The 18,368-nt window shown below is 51.0% G+C and overlaps 1 protein-coding gene across 22 annotated transcripts in view; it reads right to left on the reverse strand.

Annotated features, from left to right (window-relative positions):
• Window positions 1-18,368, reverse strand: part of USH1C (USH1 protein network component harmonin) — a 50,517-nt gene that overhangs the window by 15,437 nt on the left and 16,712 nt on the right. For 5 of the 22 annotated variants that reach the window (NM_001440685.1, NM_005709.4, NM_001440682.1 and 2 more), the window contains exons 5-15: window positions 17,887-17,995; window positions 17,680-17,704; window positions 17,417-17,474; window positions 17,011-17,105; window positions 15,115-15,199; window positions 14,083-14,142; window positions 13,875-13,931; window positions 13,448-13,590; window positions 12,010-12,075; window positions 11,534-11,658; window positions 8,065-8,138 (exon numbers count right to left, since the gene is read on the reverse strand). In NM_001440685.1, coding sequence (NP_001427614.1) covers window positions 8,065-8,138; window positions 11,534-11,658; window positions 12,010-12,075; window positions 13,448-13,590; window positions 13,875-13,931; window positions 14,083-14,142; window positions 15,115-15,199; window positions 17,011-17,105; window positions 17,417-17,474; window positions 17,680-17,704; window positions 17,887-17,995 — 897 coding nt within the window. Of the gene's footprint in view, window positions 1-19; window positions 503-1,068; window positions 1,186-2,565; window positions 2,719-5,129; window positions 5,291-6,904; window positions 6,955-8,064; window positions 8,139-11,533; window positions 11,659-12,009; window positions 12,076-13,447; window positions 13,591-13,874; window positions 13,932-14,082; window positions 14,143-15,114; window positions 15,200-17,010; window positions 17,106-17,416; window positions 17,475-17,679; window positions 17,705-17,886; window positions 17,996-18,368 lie in introns of those variants that run through there. The other 17 variants (NM_153676.4, XM_017017075.2, NM_001440680.1 and 14 more) reach the window with 13 other exon arrangements.

Below are 18,368 nucleotides of genomic sequence, written 5' to 3' on the forward strand. Positions count from 1 at the left end.
TGCAGAACAGGGACATTACCTTTGGGGTGGGTGGGAAGCTCTGTTCAGGGACAGGGGAGTTAGTGGGCTTCCCACTGTGGTTCTTTGCCTCCCAGTCCTCCACTGGATTGCCTGTGTCCCCAGTGCGGAAGGGATGGTTGCTCAGTGCTTCTTCCAGCGCCGAGGGCAGTGGGCGGGTGGGAGTGAGGTCTTGGGTGGGAACGGATGGCGGGGGAGGGATGGGAATGGGGGGTGGAGTGCGCTGCACCCATGGAGAGGATGAGGCGCTCACATGGCCAGATAAGGGAAGGACAGGGGGCGCCGGGACCTTGTGGGGTGGGTTGGAGGGTGGAGGGTGGGGCATCACAGGCAAGGCAGAGGGAGTCTTGGGGGGATAGTAGAACATGTCCAAAGGGATGTCGTCCAGGTCAGTGGTGTGCAGGTGCAGTCCGCCTGCGAAGCGTCTCAAGGGTGGGGCCAGGGGAGACACAGAAGGCGGGGGAGGCGGGGGCCCTGTGGTCATCTGGGGGTGTTGCAAGGAAGTTCTGTAATTGTCACTCTGCTTAGAGCTCCACTTCACAATACAGCGAGCACTATGCTCTTCTAATCTGTTTCTCTTGCTACTGGAGACCCACCACCCTTACATCAGAACCATGGGGCGCCATTCCTCTGCCACCTGGATGCCCAGCTGAGGCCATACTAGGCTGCTGTTAGGGAGTGCCCAAATGCAGAAGAGCCCCAAGTTATGCCATCTGTGGGTGGTAAGGTGTTCACAGAGTTCATTCTCTAAACTGGAATGCCCTTGAGAGTGTAAGGGGGACTCTTAGTCATGATGCCAGGACAACAGGCCTAACTGAGACTATCGCAGATGAGCTGGGACTTAGAGATCACTCTGGGAGTATACCCAGAAATACAGACATATCCCTCCTCCTCAAGAGGGGAGTGGGGTGGTAGGGGTGGGCCTGGACAGTGGATGGGCACTGTGAGGCTAGTGACGTTTGCTAGTTGTCATCTCACCTCCCGCTGTCCCCACAGTGGGTCATTCTGAAGACAGCAGGAGGGTCTATGTGGAAAGAAGGGCTCTGTTACCTCTGAAATCTCATTATCAGCAGAGGAAATCTGCTCGAGGCGCGTTTGACAGAGCCTCTCCACCCAATATTGAATCTTTTCCGATTCTTCAAGGTCTTCCCGCTCTGTCTCAGACACCTGGGACCCAGGATCGGCGCAGAAAGGAGAGGACAAAGGGCACATTTGAATAACATGTGGATAGAAATAGCATGAAAGCACTCCTTTAGAAACTCCAGAGTACTGTGAGGTGCATCAGCTATCTAGAAAGAGACCTGGGCTTGTTCCAACTGGCCCTCAAGGAGGCAGCAGCAAGGGAGAAGAGAGTGGCGGGGTGTCAAATTCACTAAGCAGAACTTGTAGGCAAAATCAGAAAAGGGGCTTATGTATTGTGAGGGATTAGCTGGATCCCAGATCCCCATGAACCCTGAGGCTCTTATGATTTTCCAAGAATGGAGTTTTTGTAGCCTCCCCCAGCACATTCCAAGAGTTTAACTTGACTCTTTTTTTTCCTGCTCCATTCTGCCTTGCCCTCAGAAGCATAAGTTCAATCTTATTTTTAATTTTGTGGCTAATTTGTTCATAATGTCAGACCTAATGCATTTCACATTTTCCAGGACTTCTCTGGTTTTATAATCTAATCAAATTGGCATTCTGATTCATGGATGCGTTAAAGAGAAGCAGAAACAATGATACCTCCTACAGCTGGGGAGTTAAGGTTACCCATCTCACCTAGCATAGGAATTATTCATGGTGTAAGGTTGCTTTGGACATGTCTTCATGGGGACAGCCTCAGATATATTCCCAGGTTGATGAGGTCTAGCCTTAGACACACCCTATGTTGAGGGGAGCAGCCTTAGACTGATAGCCTGATTAATTGGGAGATAACCTCGCACCTACCACCTGCATAAGGGGGTTAGCCTCAGACCCATATTCTCAGAGCCAAGCTAAGTTGGGTGGGGGGGGGTCTGGTCTTACAATAACCTGGGAAGGGAGGCCAGAGTGATTCAGACTCGTAGACAGGTCAGTGGAAGCCTAACTTCAAAGCTACAAGCAAGGCAGAAGGGTTAGCCGCAGACCATACTCTAAGTAGCCTCAGAGCCACACCTGAGATGGAGAGGCCCAGCCTTAGACTCTGGTGGGGTAGAGTGAAGAGGACAGACTCAAATCTCTAAGCCAGGTGTATCAAAGGCTAACCTGAGACCTACCATCTGGTCAGAAAGGCTAACCTCAGACTCACACCCCCCGACCAAGGAGGCTAGTTTCAATTCCAAAGCCAGGAGCAAGACTCACACCCCCAAGCAAGGAGATTAGTTTCAATTCCTAAGCCAGGAGCTAACCTCAGATGGCCCTGGGCAGGTGGCATGATCTCTCTCTCCAGGCTGGGGAGCAGGAAAGGGCTCACTCCACCCTTGTATGCCATTTGAGGAGAACAACTCCAGCTGGTCCTCTGGGAGCACATGGAGAACGACCACATTGTGTCCCAGGGTTGCTTGCCTGGCCTGCAGGCAGGACACATACCTCCTGGGCCAGCCGGTTGATCTTTAGCTGCTTTTCCTTCTCCAGCATTTCCTCTTTCTCTTTGTAAAGCTTTTGCTCAAACTCCAGTTCTTTCTTATTCTTTCTCAAGTCCTGCAGGCTGCCATACTTGGCTTTCTTCTTATCTTTTCCTTTCTGAGTAGATGTGGCATTGTTTATATGACAAAGGTTAGAAATAGTGTCGACAGCACAGCACACGGGGCATCCAGTCCTCACATAACACAACCATCCCATGGTGAGCCCCTCCCCCAGCTCTCTCACCACTCTGGACATCAGACCTCAGGTTTAGGACAGGAAGGCCACTGCTACCTACTGCAGAGTGGGAGACACATTCTCTTTACCAGCCAGAAAGACTGGCTTATTAGTTCACTAACTAGCTGTGTGGCCTTGGCTAAGTTCCTTAACCTCTCTGGGCCTGATTTGCCTCATCTCCAAAATGGTAAAAATACCTCCCCCACAGGCTTGCCACCCAGTGCCAATGAAATAACATCCATGAAAGAACTTTGTAAAAGTTCTGTATAAATAAAAAATAAAATAAAAAAATAAATAAGTGCCATATAAATAAAGGGCATTGTGCTGATTTTCCAGTATCTGGCACATGCCTTCTGCATCATCTCATGTTCAGATTCAGAGATGCATCCTGGGAGATTCCAGAGAAAATCTGGGAGGGCTGGCAAGCTTCATCTGTAGAGGTCCCGTCCTAAGCTAGAAGTGATAGGAGTCACACTGAGACCTGGGGGCTCAGACCCAGGGACATCAGATTTTACCCGCATGCTTAAGCTCTGGACCATTTCACCCTGGAGAGTCTAGACCCACAGTTTCCTCTGAATTGTGCCCCTCTACCGAGGGCTAGCTGGAAACTGCAGGACTGGGAGGCAGGGCATGGAGAGAATGGCTTAACTGCTTTACACTCACCATCAGGGTTCTAGAGGATTTGGGGAGGGACATGAAAGGCAAATAGACTCCTTATTTTTCCTGTAGGAATTAGACCCACCGAGCCTGCATTCCTGGCTGCTTCTCTCATGGGGTTGCAGGGAAGCCAGGGGCTAAGGCAGGAAGAGAATGATCATTTATGAACTGCCTATGTGCCAAGGGATTTATACCAATGATCTCCTATGTAGGTTTATCCTCATTCTTTGATGAAGGAGCTGAGGCTCAGAGAGGTAAAGTCCCTTGTTCAATGTCAGACATCTTGTAACTGATAGTACCAGGATTTGGACCTGAGTCTTCGAGGTCCTAGTTTTTCTATGGTGCCCTGATGAGCTGGGGGCAAGGGAAACACGGCAGGAGGGAGGGTCAGCCCCTATCACACACAGCGTGGAGGACAGAGCGAGCATTCAGGAGAGGGGCAGCAGAGACAGCCCACACCCTGGGCAATTTCTGGGGCAAGGAGGAAACCCCCTGTTCACTGAGCTCACCCCCGCCCCCAACAAGCCTTCTGGGGATCTGCTCTTGAATTTTCTGAATCATCTTAGTATCCAAGGCCAGGAATAAGGAATTGAGCTCCCTAGCAATGGACACACAACATTCATCCACAGCTGGAGGGACTTGGTGGGCCATTATGGACCTCTGAGGGACTCTTCCTAGCTCCTCTCCTAAAGACACACACCTCTGTGTACTGCTAATGTGCTCTGGAAATGGTCACCTCTGGGACCCACCTCCAGAGCAGTGTATGAGCCTCTCGAGAAAATGGTTCTCACTGCTTCAGAGTCCTGCTTGGTTCCTTGCCTACCTTGTTCACTAGACTCAGTTGATAGATGAATCCCTGCCATCGTAGTAGAGATTCAGACAGCAATTTCCCAAGAGGAGCCAGAAACACTGCCTAATGGTAGCTTGCTAGAGTAAGAGCCTGGCCTCCTCCAGGACCACCACGAGAATAATGGCCATTCTGTTGCTTAAAAAAAGAAAGAAAGAAAGAAAAAAAAAACTACCAGTGCTAAGATTATAGAGTCAGGGCTTCTGGGTGGGGTAGTAGACAGTTTCTGTCTCATGCCCAAGAAAGTCATATCTGTACAGATGCAGAGGGCAAGTTGCCCCATGGCATTTCCCACTGATCTCAGACTGGCCCCACACAGGTTACTTAGCTGTGTGTGAATCTGCCTTCCCTGCCAGACGGTGGGCTCCTGCAAGTAGGGCTGGTCTGTGTGAGTGACTCAAGCAATTCTGATGAAAGGGCTTAGTCAGAATCATGAATCCTTCATGCCCTGGCACAAATTCTGTGGGGCCAAAGGCCTGGGAACCTTGAGCCCCAGAGGGATTTACTGCCAAGGTGGAAATAGAAGACACTGAATCTTTATATTATTATTATTATTTTCTTGAGACAGGGTCCTGCTCTGTCACCCAGGCTGGAGTGCAGTGGTGCAATCTCGGCTCACTGCAGCCTCTGCCTCTAGGGTTCAAGTGATTCTCCTGCCTCAGCCTCCCAAGTAGCTGGGATTACAGGCATGCGCCACCACACCCAGCTAATTTTTGAATTTTTAATAGAGACAGGGTTTCACCCTGTTGGCCAGGCTGGTCTTGAACTCCCAACCTCACGTGATTCGCCTGTCTTGGCCTCCCACAGTGCTGGCATTATAGACATGAGCTGAATCTTTATATTTTTAAATAAGGGGAATTTATGCACAGATATCATGGCCATGGATACCCACTTGCATTTCCTGGAGACTTGGCGTTCCAGCTGCTGGGAGACAAAGAGTCTCTCACGGCTCTAGAAAAAATGATGACGGGTTTTCAGAGCCAGTATGAGGGGCATGGTTCTGTTGTCCTTTCAGCTGTCAGTTACATCCATGGCCTGTCAGTTACAATATTCCTTTTGGTCCAGACTGAGAGGTGAGGCAGATGGGGCGATTGTGCTATTGATTCTACCCAGAAGCAATTCTTTTTTTTTTTTTTTTTTTGAAGTGAAAATGAAAACCAAAATGACAGCTGTTTCTGGAATAATTAGATTAAGGAATAGGGGAAAGGCAACCCTATTTCTTTATCAACAGCACTTTCAAGGACATGATTTCTGATGGGAGGTGGTATGTGGAGAAGATTCTAGTTCTTTTACATTTACATGTTATTAGTGCCTGAAAAAGATTTGACATATCTGTCTCCTTTATTATTTTTTTCAAGTAAAATCCTATGTGTGCATGTGTGTGTGTGCTTGTGTGTGTGTGTGTGTGTTTTGTCCTCTCTAGCTGAGTTCTAGTAGAGGCAGAATATAGAGAAGAATTAGAAATCTAACCCAATGAGGCATCCTAAGCCACCAAAGTCAGCCTGTCAAGGGAAACAGATAGTCTTATGAGACCAAGGCCTTTCTGAGACCAGGACAATGTGTGAAGGAATTCCCAGAGGAACTCTGTTCCAAGTTTATTCAATGCTATACAAATCCTGATAGATGTTCCTAGATAAAGGCATTAACCTCTGTCAGGAAAAATATTACTGTTTGTTATTTTAATAGCAATGTGCTGGAGGAAGGGGGTAGATTTTCCTGGCACAGTTAATATTCCCATTTTACAGGCAGGGAGAATTATATATCATCAAGGTCACTCAGCTGCCAGTGCTCTGGTTTCTGGGGGACTGACATCTTGCCAGAAAGCGCTGGTCAAGTGATAACATCCAATTTAGCTCACCCAGATTTATGCTGCTGCCTGACCTCCAAATACCAAGTCATCTCGAATGTCCAATTATAGATATTAACAGCAATGTTTTCACAATCAAATGTCAATGTGATTTAGAAAGATAAGGACAAGAGAGTTTTACAAGGCCTGGAGATATTGTAATAAGATTTAGAGAGAAAATTAAAGGTCCTAGAAATTGGAAAAATGCATTATCCTGGGCACATGCAGAGATATTCCTAGGAGAGGGCTGTGCTTGGAGTGGGTCTCTGTCCCAACCTGAGGCAGCAAATCCCCACCTCGTCAGCCAGGCTGCGTCTGGCACAGCTGGTCTCATAACATGCACTAGGTACACCCACTCCGATAATTTGCTCTGTCTGACCCCAAGCTTCTGGCCTTGGTCTCTAGTTCTACTTGACAGAGAAACACAGGAGAAGCTTCCTGCCCCTTTCCTGTTCCCATCAGGGCCAGTGCTGATGCACACACTGCCAGATGGTACTTGGATAGGTCTCACACCATGGATCCCTCTCCCAATGTTGCCTTTGCAACAGCACCCTGCCATTTGATGTCAGCCTGACACAAAGATGGAGATGGAGTTAGCCTTCCAAGTGAACAGGCCAAGTCACACCATTTAGTGTTGATAGGACAAGGAATGTTTGGGAAAAGCCAAAACCCACAGCAAACTAAGCAGCACACCAGCACAGCACCCAACCCTGTCCTACCTTCCGGATGGTTGGGAATTTGCCATCGTAACGATAAAACCATCCAAAAGCTATAAGACACAGATAACAAAATGATGAGACACAGTTCAGCTCAGCCAGAGCATCCATGGGCAGCAGATGGGAGCTGGGTTCCCAAGGAATGCATGACTTTGTGAGATAAACAGCATTGGCAGATCCGACAGCAAAACTGCACCCTCTGTCCAACTCGGCTTACCTGGCCTTGCCTTGGTTGCAGAACAGGCCTAAGACCACCGAGAAAAGCCCCGGTTCCCAGGCCCTGGGTCACTCTCAAATGCCTCTCCCCAGAACACTGGTTTCAGAAGTCAGGGCCAGAACATCAAAGAGAAAACCCCTTGTGGAAGGATGAGCTTTTCCAAATCACAGTCTTCACATACAAAGCCTTGTTGAAAGAGAACAAGGCCTTTTCTAACCCATGTCTGGTCCCTCCATACAAAAAATGGCTCGAGACAAAAGGGAGCCTGGGTGTCTGCCTAGAACTGTTGTTCGACAGAACAAAACTGGCTTGTCTCATAGTGCAGGTCAAGTCCTCCGCTTTCAACATTCAAAGAGAAGGCAGTGGCTGGGACAGCTCTTGGAAGGACAGCTCCAGCAGGAGCGGGCAGGAGATGTGCCCCCAGAAAACAGATCCTCATCCAGGCCAGATAGCCAGTGCACCAGCCCCCTTCCTTCCCCAGGCCGCAGCTCCACAGAGTAATACCCCCAATCTGAAGCTCCCTGGGGCCAAGAGCGATGGCTGAATTACCCACCCCGGACCAGCCTGAGTGCTGGAACAGGATGCTGAAAGCCTCCTGCTGGACCAGACACTACCTCCTCAGTTGCTGGATTTGAGAGTGGTCTAGGGGGTCCTGGGGGAGGGGCCAGAGCAGCAGAGGGGGAATTTGGCAATATCTAAATATTCGAGCCAGCGGTTCAGTGGTACCAGTGTGCAACAGCTGATCTACCAGCCTGGGCATTGAGTCCTGTCGTCTAGGCTTTGTGTACAGTGCTTGGGCCAAGCTGGGGCTTGGAGGAGCTTTACAGACTCTATTGGCCCCCACACATGCTGGGCCCCTGAAGCTGGGTGTCTGCACTGCGGTCAGGAGGAGGCGGGCAGGGTAAAGCAGAGCAGCCAGGCCAGGGAGCAAAGCGGGGACGCGAACCTGCTCTCCCTGCTCCTCCGTGCCTCCATCCAGGTCATCTGCGGGCTCGAGCTCAGGTTCCACTCCCTGATCATCTACCCAGGGAAAAGAGGAGGAAGCTGGTGAACCAAAAGGGACTTGGGAGCCCAAGAGGCCGGAGAACCTTCTCAGGAGTTTGGGGACCTGTAATCAGCTTCCTCCATGGGAGCTGTGAGGTCAGGGGCAGGGGACAGAGTTCAGGAGAGCAGAGCAAAGGTTTTTTGCTCTGAGCTGGTGCATACAGTGTTTTCAACCTTGGCAGCTTTAGTTTTTCTGTCTGTACAAAGGGCTAACAACAGGAAACTCAGATCTGAGGGTAGCATGAGAACCATTTTGTAGGGTATTGGGCTGAAGGCTGGGAAGTGCAGTGAGGAGGATGGGAATATCTGAGAATCGCACACGTTTGAGGGCAAGGGGCTGCAATGGGAGAACAGACCCTCCAGCCTTGTGCTTATCACCCTTGCCTTGGAGCTCTGGGACCCTAGGGGATGTCTGAACAGTGTGGGCAGCAGATGGAGGCTGAAGGTCCTGAGGAGGTGGGGACATCCCAAAAGGTAAAAGGGGTACATGCAGTTAGGAAGACCTGAATTTTGACATAATGTGGAGAGAAGAGCAAACCCTCCATTCCAGAGTTTCCAGCTTGGACTCTGGCCTCCGGCCTCCCTAGGACTCTGGAAGGTAGTATACCCGTTTGCTTGTGAGCTGCTTTTTAATATTTTAAAAGCTTAACAGAACTTGCCCATTGGCCTATGCAAAGGCTGTTAAGTTCTTTGGCTCTTGGCTCAAATTACATTTACCCAACAGTGGAACCCTGATGCTCCCTTACTAACAAGGACTACTTAATAAAACAATGGAACACAAATGATTATTTAATAGTTCGGTAGGAAAATAACCTCAACTTCCAAATCGTGGGGTCTCTTGTGGTGGAGGTGGGGGAGATAGTTGATGGGGCCTTGGATAGGGAGAGAAGGTTGGAGATGTCCTATTTAAACATCTCCATCTTTCAAGAATCCTTCAGCTACCAGATCCTTAGTCAAGGCTGCCCCTGGCAACTCCTGCATAACCACCTACATAACTCCTGCCTAAGCTAAGGGAAGGTCTGTTAGGAGCCTCTGTGGTGGTGTCCTGGCCTTCAGGGCTTGGCAAAATGTTGGGGGTCTGCTGGATCAGCCACGGGTAGGTGGGCAGGAGCAATTTTAAGGGCCCCCTGGGGCAGGTTGGGGGGCAGTCAGTCCCAGGCACATAATTAGGATGAGTGACTTCATTTTCTAGGTAAGAGATGCCCCATGCTCTTTTATTTTAAAAAATGCAGGGCCCGGGGCCAGGCACAGTGGCTCATGCCTGTAATCCCAGCACTTTGGGAGGTGGAGACGGGCAGATCACCTGAGGCTGGGAGTTCAAGACCTGCCTGACCAACATAGTGAAACCCTGTCTCTACCAAAAATACAAAATTAGCTGGGCTTGGTGGCGCATGCCTGTAGTCCCAGCTACTCGGGAGGCTTTGAGGCAGGAGAATTGCTTGAACCCAGGAGGCGGAGGCTGCGGGGAGCTGAGATCACGCCATGGCACTCCAGCCTGGGCAACAAGAGCAAAACTCTGTCTCAAGAAAAAAAAAAAAGCAGGGCCCACCCCTTGCAGGCATAGAAGCCTGAGTCAGGTATAACCTATTGCAAACTGGGTGCTGAGTTGAAGGGTGGTTGGATAGGAGCTGGCTGGGGCCCAGGCCTGCTGGACCAACTCAGCCCTGACCATGCTAGACCCCGGGGAACAGGGAGTGAGGCAGGAGGTGAGCTGGCTCAGGGACCTCACTGCATTTCCTGCCTTAGGTCCAAATGAGAATTAAATTGCTGGTGCATACAGAGACAGATAGAGGCAGCAGCTGTCCCAGCTCAGCGGGCAGGCGGGGGTCATCCATCCTGTGCTTTGTGGAGCTGCCTAAGATCACATTTACCTTGAGCAAATGCAAAATTCTTGGTCTTTTTATTCAAAGAGCTTGATTTGTTTAAAAGGCACTAAATAAATAACCAGCTAGTGAAAGGGTTTTTATTTTCTATTGCTCCTGAGAGGGTGTGTTTGCTGTGAAGCTGAGGCCCAATTTCTTGGAAGGTACCAAATTGACTAGGATTACTTCCATGAGAAGCAATTAAAATCGATTTCTCTCCTGAAGCTCCTATTTCACTCGTAAGAGCAAATTAGCTGTCTGTCTAAAACAGCGATCATTCATTGGGATCTTAGCTCTGGCCATATCCTCAACTGATACTGAATGTCACGGGGGAGGCTGATGAGAGTGTGCTTTGTCCTTCTGAGAGGACCAGGAGATGACACTGCCCTGCTGCCAGGAAGAAATGTGTTGGGAGCTGTTTGACTGCACCAGGGAGGGGTGAAATGGAACCATCCAGATGCCCTGCACCTCTTCCTTGGTGCAAGTGGCCTATGTTGGCAGGTTGACATTCCCATAGGTCTCATATGTGACCCAAAGTTGGGGACAGAGCTGTCCAGACCCCATCACAACATGCCAAATGACTGCCCCACAGCAGAGATGGGGAACCTGGGCTCTTGAGTCCAGAATAGCCCCTTGCTGGAGGTTCCCAGGTCAGCTGAGCACAATCAGCTGGAGTAGGACCTGTCCTGTGTCAACTATAAGTCAAAACAGCTGGAAGGCAGGAGTAAGGACCCAACCAGCAATCCTGGACTTGTGGTTGTCATGGTCCCCGTTTTCCTCTGGCAGTGTGGGCTGCCTCTTAAAGAGGCATATGGAAGCTGGGGTTGAGAAGGTGGTCAGGGAGCAGGTGGTAGAGGCTTAGACTGAAAATGGAGGTGAGGATGTGGGACGGATGAAGAGAGGAGATGGTAAGGAGAGTATGAGCTGAGGCCCCAGGACAGCACAGCCACAGCCCATAGCTGGGTGTCTGGGAGAGGCCTCCTTGTCCTGTTCCTGCCTCCATCCTTGGTCCACATACAGGGATATAGGGGCTGGAGACACTTAGTAAGCTCCTCCCACAGTTATGAATCAACCTTGGACCACCAGAGCCCTTCTCTGATGTGAGGTCCTTCCCCTCTTTTCTGCTGCTGGCTTCACCCCAGCCCCTGTTCAGAACCAAGTAGGAGGAGGACATGGTACCCAAAACATTAGGACGGTAATCCCATGAGCTAATCCACTTTCACTATGGCCCTTATTCCCTCTTCAGCAGCCTGACAGCCTGCCCATGTCAGTGTTGTGGGGGACCTGGGAGCTGGGTATGTGGAGCTGGCCCGTGAACAAGGGGAGCAGACAGATCCCTCCTACCTCGATGCTGGGGCAGATGGTCTCTGACCCACAGCTGCCCCTCCATGAAGGAACCACAGCCCAGAGCACCAAGGGCTATCCATCTAGGAGGTGGTGGTGAGGGGAGGGAGGGCCAGCATTTCTGACTAGTTCCCTTAGCCTCTCCCCTCGGCTCATGAAACTTACACTTTGGCTTGCGAAGGGGTACTGGGTGTACCTCAGCAGTGATGGTTTTAGGCAAGAGTAGCTGTTCCTTTGAGCCCCAGTCTTCTTCCCATTGCTTCTTAAACTTCTCTTCCTCCTCTACAATCCTAAAATGAGACCCCCATGCCTGTTACTGGAGTCAGAACCCCCATAGGCCCATCTCCTGCATATCGGAGAGCCCCAGCCAGCCTGGGGAGAAGCCTCATGGTTCTAGTCATGATGAATCAAGCAAAGTCCCCGAGCTTGTATTCTAAATTGAGTGTGAACCCCACCTTGGCAATTATACGAGACTATGTTTCAGTTACTATAATATGACAGGCTTTACTACAAATAAAGGAGGACCCACCAGGGGATGAGAGAACCAGGTAAACTGGTTCTGGAGGCAGCCTCTGGTTGGCCACACTCCCCTGAGCACACTGATGTTCATGCACAGACACGCGTGGAGCCGAGGTACTCACTGTTCCATCTCCTTCCGGTATCTCTCATTTTCCTCTGCTGCCTTCTGGGCAATTTCTTTTCTCCTTCTGAAACACAAATGCAGATTGGCATGTTTGGCCCTATGCAAGAGAAATGAACTCTTCCTTACTGTGAATTCTTGATTTGGAGAAAAGTTGGATTTTTCTCCAGGCTCCCTTCCTAGGAGGCCTGGACCAGCTTTGGTTTTGGGGGACGTTATCTAACAAAGTCTGGACGCTGTGCTCTTGCGTGGTTTTGTCTGGCATGGCTGAGCAGAGATGCTGGGCTGTGGGAGGAGGGAAGCAGATCCATGTGAAGGCCACACTCCATGCACCCTCCTCCAAACACTTAGGTAAGGTGACTGATGACAGGCGGGGCCTGGACTGACCCCAGGAGCAAAGCAGGGGCTCCTAGCCAGGTGGAATACTCCCAGCTAACTCTGTGTTGGGGGAGATGGGGACAGCCTTTCCTCTTTCCTTTTCAAAATACATTAATTGATTGATTGATTGAGACAAAGTCTCACTTTGCACCCAGGAGTTCAGTGGTGCGATATCAGCTCACTGCAACCTCTGCCTCCCAGGTTCAAGTGATTCTCATGTCTCAGCCTCCCGAGAAGCTGGGATTACAGTCGCATGCCACTATGCCCAGCTAATTTTTTTTTGTATTTTTAGTAGAGACACAGTTTCACCATGCTGGCCAGGCTGGTCTCGAACTCCTGACCTCAGATGATCTGCCGGCCTCGACCTCCAAAGTGCTGGGATAACAGGCGTGAGTCACTGCGTCCAGCCATGAAATACTTTTAAATGCCTAAAAGGTATTTGGATTTGGATCTTGACAGTAGTTTTTGATTTATGAATTGCTCACCCCATTTATTCTCTTAGGCCATCATTTCAATCCTCCTGGACAAGGGTGAGCTTCATCACTATAGGCAGGGCAGCCCTGTGGGGACTTGCCAGATTGCCTGGGGGTGATCCCAGCTTGGCCACGTGTGACGTTAGACACAAGTGGCTTCACCTCTCTGAGTGTCAGTCTCCACACCTCTAAAATGGGGTTAATACTCTCTACCTCCCAGGGCTATTGTGGGAATTAAGAAACATAAACAAGGCCCTAATACAACACCAGCCTTATGGAGGTACTTGACAAATGTTAGCTGGTAGCTAATCCTAGCTAGCTAGAGCCTACTGCTAGTAGGATGCTTATTTTCCATATTCTTGGAATGTTGGAAGACAGGGGGCTCTGCTCAGCAAGGAGGAAGGAGCCAGGTGGTCTGAGGCCAAGGATGGATACGCTGACCTACCACCAAACTCATCTGGTCTGAGGACTGGCCTCCAGGGAGGAGGAGGAAGTTGGCTGGGGACACAGCGGGCAGGAAGCAAGCTAGGTGGGGTCGTGTGGTGGGGTGGGAGGCGGGACAGGGCATCCAGGGCTGGCTGCACTCACTGCCGCTCCATCTCCTGCTGCTCCTGGAGGATCTTGTTGGACTCCATCGCCAGCCGCTTCTGCATGAGAAGCTCCTGCCGCTGCAGCTCACGCTGCCGCGCCTCTGCCAGCCGCTCCCGGTCTGTCATGAACAGCTCCCGGCCCTCATGGGAGAAAAGAGGCCCCTTGCTCAGCCCCCGGGGAACCTGGGGATCCCCTGACACACCCCTGGGGGCCGAGATGCAGGTGGTCTTCTCAGCACCATCAGGCACTGCGGCTCCCGCAATCCCTGACCCAAACTTCTTGCTGGGCAGAAGTCCTCTCGCTCTGCTCTGTCAGAGCTTCAGGGAAGGAGACCAGCCACCCTGGGAGTGTGTGGCAGAGATCAAAGGTCAGAGGGGCTGGGGATGAAGGTCAAGGGGCTCCCACCAGCTCATTCTGGACTTACAGCTGCAGCTACAATGGAGATGGTCAGGCTGCGGCTACTCTTCAGCACATTTACAGCCTGTGGGGACAGAAGGACAGTGGGCCGAGGCCTGACAGACCACAGCAGTCCAGGCAGAGAGCACAGAAGGCCCCAGGCTCCAGGGTGGTGGGGATGAGAAGTGGGGTGTGGAGATGACAAGGGCCAACAGGTGAAGACCCCCACATCTCACCTCCTTGTGATCCAGGTTAGAGAAGTCGACGCCATTGACTTCGACAATCTGGTCCCCTATCTGGTGGGGAAATGGAGAAAGATTAGTGTGTTTGCGCTATCTGTACACTCGCTCATCTGCAGGACAGGCTCCCCCAGGGGCTCTGGGTCAGATGCTGGATCTTCAAGTGGCAGTACCTCAGCTCCTCCTGATGAATGGAGCAGTTGGAAAGCTCTGGTGGAGCTCTGGGAGGGCTTAAAGCTGACCCTGGCACTCCCCTACTTCATAACTATCTTATCAACTATCAAATATTATACCATTACATGTTCATTTCTTTGGCTAAATTTGATGACATTTGCTTTAAAAATCACAGTTTGCAGATGCGGGAACCTTTGAGCTTCTCATTTAGCACAGGCTGTGTTGAATCGTCATAACAGAATAGCTAACATTCACTGATCACTTACAATGTGCTTGGCACAGCTCTAGTATACATATTAATTACTTTAACCCACACAACAACCTTGGAAGAAAGCCTGTATTATCCCCATCTTACAGGTAAGCAAACAGACATGAAGTAACTTGTCCAAAGAAGAGGTTAAGGGTTCCTGCTTTGGGATTGGACCACCTAGGTTTGAATCCCAGCCCTACCATATGAGGTACACGATTTTGGAAAAATCATATACTTTCTCTGGGTCTCAGTTTCCTCATATGTAAAGTGGGGATAATGGTGGTACTTAACCCTCAGCATTCTTGTGAAGTGTAAAGGGCATGGAACAATGTCTGATGCAAGTGGACACTGAAGGTCCGCTCTTTGATTACCATTACGACATTCCCAAGCTCGTGACCAACAACTATCAGAGCTGGGGAAGGCTGCAGAAGGGTCAAACATCCCCAGTCTGTGAAGCCTTCTCTGCAGGGTGGGTAGGGCTCCTACTCCCTCAGTGTCCACTGAAAGAGGGCCATGTGGAAAGGCACCTGCCCCTGTCACCGCGGGATCACAGTCTGACCCAATTTCCAGTGGGCCCCCACTGGGGCCGGCCCAGCGTCACTCACCTCCAATCCCACCTCAGCAGACAGGGAGCCAGGTTTCACATGGCTGATAAAGATGCCAGGCTTCTGGATGGGGCCGCTGGAAATGCTGCGGGAGGTGGGAAATGTGTGCTCGGGATTCAGGTAACCCATGTCCAGTGCTCAGGATACAGGTCACTCATGAGCTGAGGACTGAAGGCCCTTGACTGCCTACCTCTTCAGCCTCTGTGTCCCTCTCCAGCCTGATTTCTACTGCTACCCTGGGCAACAGCCACAGAAAAATCCTTGTAATTCTTCCTACCCAACCTCTCACCTAATATACCTCATATGCTGTTTCTTCTTTCTTTCTAGCACTTTCCTGTCCATCCATTAAGACTCAAATGCTATCCCTTCTATAAGGTTTTTACCAGATCCTCTTATTTTTTTAAATTTATTTTTTAGAGACAGGGTCTTGCTCTGTCACCCAGGTTGGAGTGCAGTGGTGTGATCATAGCTCTCTGCAACCTCCAACTCCTGGGATCAAGCAATCTTCCCACCTCAGCCTAGCTGCGACTACAGGTGTGCACCACCATGCCTGGCTCAGATCCCTTATTCTATCCCAAGACTAAACTAGCCGCTCTGTTCTCAGTGCTCCTATGACATTTACGGCAAGGATGGTACATGTACTGTTAGTATTCCTTCCTAGATTGGTGGCAGAAGTCACTCATTGATCACAGCACTCTTTCCCACAATCCTGGATACAGCTTTAGAATGCTTTTCAAAGCAGCACTCCAGGGAGCTGCTACTCATTGACTAGAGATGGCACCTATTTGCCATCCTGGACGCAGAATGTAGTCCCGTTCGAGTCCCTATCACCCTATATTATAACTATTTACTTGGTTGGCTTCTAGATTAGGCTGTTGTCTCCCAGAAAGGTGGGACTTTTTATCACTTGTGCTTGGCACAAAACATTGAATAAATGTGAATGAAAGGAAAGAACAGGGATAACTTAAATAATAATAGCTAATATTTACCAACTGCTTACTATTTAGCAGGTACTAAGTTTGGCACTTTACTTTCTCCACAACCACCCTGTGATGTGGGAATTATTATCGCCCATTTATAGAGGGAGAAACTGAGGCTCAAAGTGGTTAAGTAACTGGCCCAAGGTTCCAGAGCTCTTAAGTGGGAAAGCAGGGCTGGAACTGGGATCTGAGTAACGGTGGCACCTGCATGCTTAAGCCCCGTGTGGCCCAGTGTCTGTTCGGAATTCCCTGTCTGCCTCTTAAGGAAGCCAACAAGTTAATAAGTGACAAGAGAGCTGTGACAGAGATGACCAGCCAAACAGGCTCCTTTTGCAGTGACTCAAGGGCCCACAAGGTAACACTGTTCTGCCTCTGGGCCTCAATTTCCTCATCTGTAAATTGGGCTCTGTTAGAGATGACCCTCTGGCCCTAAAGGCCTGTCATGAAGTTCAGAGGGGAAATCAGGCACCAAGAAGTGTCAACACCAAGGCTGGGTGCGGTGCTTCATGCCTCTAATCCCAGGGCTTTGGGAGGCTGAGGTGGGAGGATCACTTGAGCCCAGGAGTTTGAGACCAGCCTGGGCAACATAACAAAACTCCATCTCTACAAAAAAATTAAAAGTTAGCTGGGTATGGCAGTGTGTTCCTGTAGATCCAGCTACTCAGGAGGCTGAGGTGGGAGGATTGCTTGAGCTGGGGAGGTTGAGGCTACAGTGAGCTATGATCATGCCACTGCACTCCAGCCTGGGCAACAGAGTCAGACCCTGTATCTAACAAAAAAAGTATCATCACCCATGGACAGTCACACCCCTGGTGGGCAAGGTTTCCTCGGAAGTGGCAGTGAGGAAGGGGAGGGCAATAGGGGCCTGCTGGGGTGCACTGGCCACGAATGACCCCAGGGCATGCCTGCCACCCACCTGCAGCCAAGGCCTCGGGAGCCTACCAGGCTGATGAAGACCTTCTTCTCCTTGTTTTCCCGATTTCCAGGGGAGCCCAGGCTGCCTCGCACGCCCTGAAAGAGAGATAGAAGCAGAATCACGGAGTGTCCACATGCGTGCAAGCGGCCTCTTGAGCTTGTGGGATCTGCAGGGCGAGCACTGCTGAACTCACGCCAGCCAGATCATCATTCCGTCCCTGGGGATGTGTCTGCACCAGCTGGGCCTGGCCGAGGGCTGCTGCCCCACAGCGGTGTGCTGGCTGCCCTGGGAGCCTGTGTGAAGCCCCTGAGGGTGCATCTCTAGAGCAAGCCCTCCCTTCAGGACCGGCCACCCCTCCTTGAAGATGACCCCACCCAAACCCCATCACAGGAGGTCTGGCCCTTACCCCAGATTCCGACACAAACTGATCCACATACTGCCAAGTGAGGGGCTCATCAGGAGAGCTGATGGGAAGGGAAAATAGATGGGAGGGTGGTTAGCGAGAGACGTTTGAGGAACCAGGCCCCACATCCAGATCCACCATGTCTAGAGCCTCCAGCCTCCACTGGCCCAGAAGCAGGGCTGGCATGGTGGGAGCCGGACCCCAGGGCTGTACCAGGATCCTGGGCCCACAGGGAAGAGTTGGCCTGCAGAGGAGGGGCCTCTCACCTTTTCACGGGGATCAGGCCGATGTCTGCGGGAGAAAGGCACAGGGGTTAGGACAGCTCCCCCGCCCTCCCTCCCTCCCACCGTCATGGAGTACTGACCTGCTCCCCCGCCCTCCCTCCCTCCCACCGTCATGGAGTACTGCCCTGCTCCCCCGCCCTCCCTCCCTCCCACCGTCATGGAGTACTGCCCTGCTCTGGCCTCACTCACGTCTCACTTTGATGGACACAGTTTTCTTGGTTCGAATGAGGTTGATGACCTCCTCATGGGTACAGGAGGAGATGGAATATCCATTGATCCGGACGATCTCGTCCCCTACCTTGACCACAGAGAGAGGCAGGGAGCACCAGGTGGAGGGAGCATCAGGCAGTGGGGCAGACTCACCACCAGATGCTCCCGGACTGCTCTCCGGAAAAGGGAAGGGTGGCTGTGCCACCCCCTGGAATAAGCCTTGATCTCAACCAACCCACCCTCCATCAGCCCGGGGGATCCCAGGTTCAGGTGGCATGTCCAAGCAGTCTTGTCGCCCCATTTTACAGATGGAGAAACCAAGACAGGGGTGAGGGGCACAGCGGGTGTGCAGCAGAGCTGGGAGAAGATCTCAGAACTCTCTGCACCCTCACTCTAGTGCCCCTTTCACTCCACTGGGGCACCATCAGATTCTGGATTCTATGCAAAGGGTGACATTTCAC

This window comes from Homo sapiens, chromosome 11, assembly GCF_000001405.40.
Source record: "Homo sapiens chromosome 11, GRCh38.p14 Primary Assembly".
Classification (NCBI taxonomy): domain Eukaryota; kingdom Metazoa; phylum Chordata; class Mammalia; order Primates; family Hominidae; genus Homo; species Homo sapiens.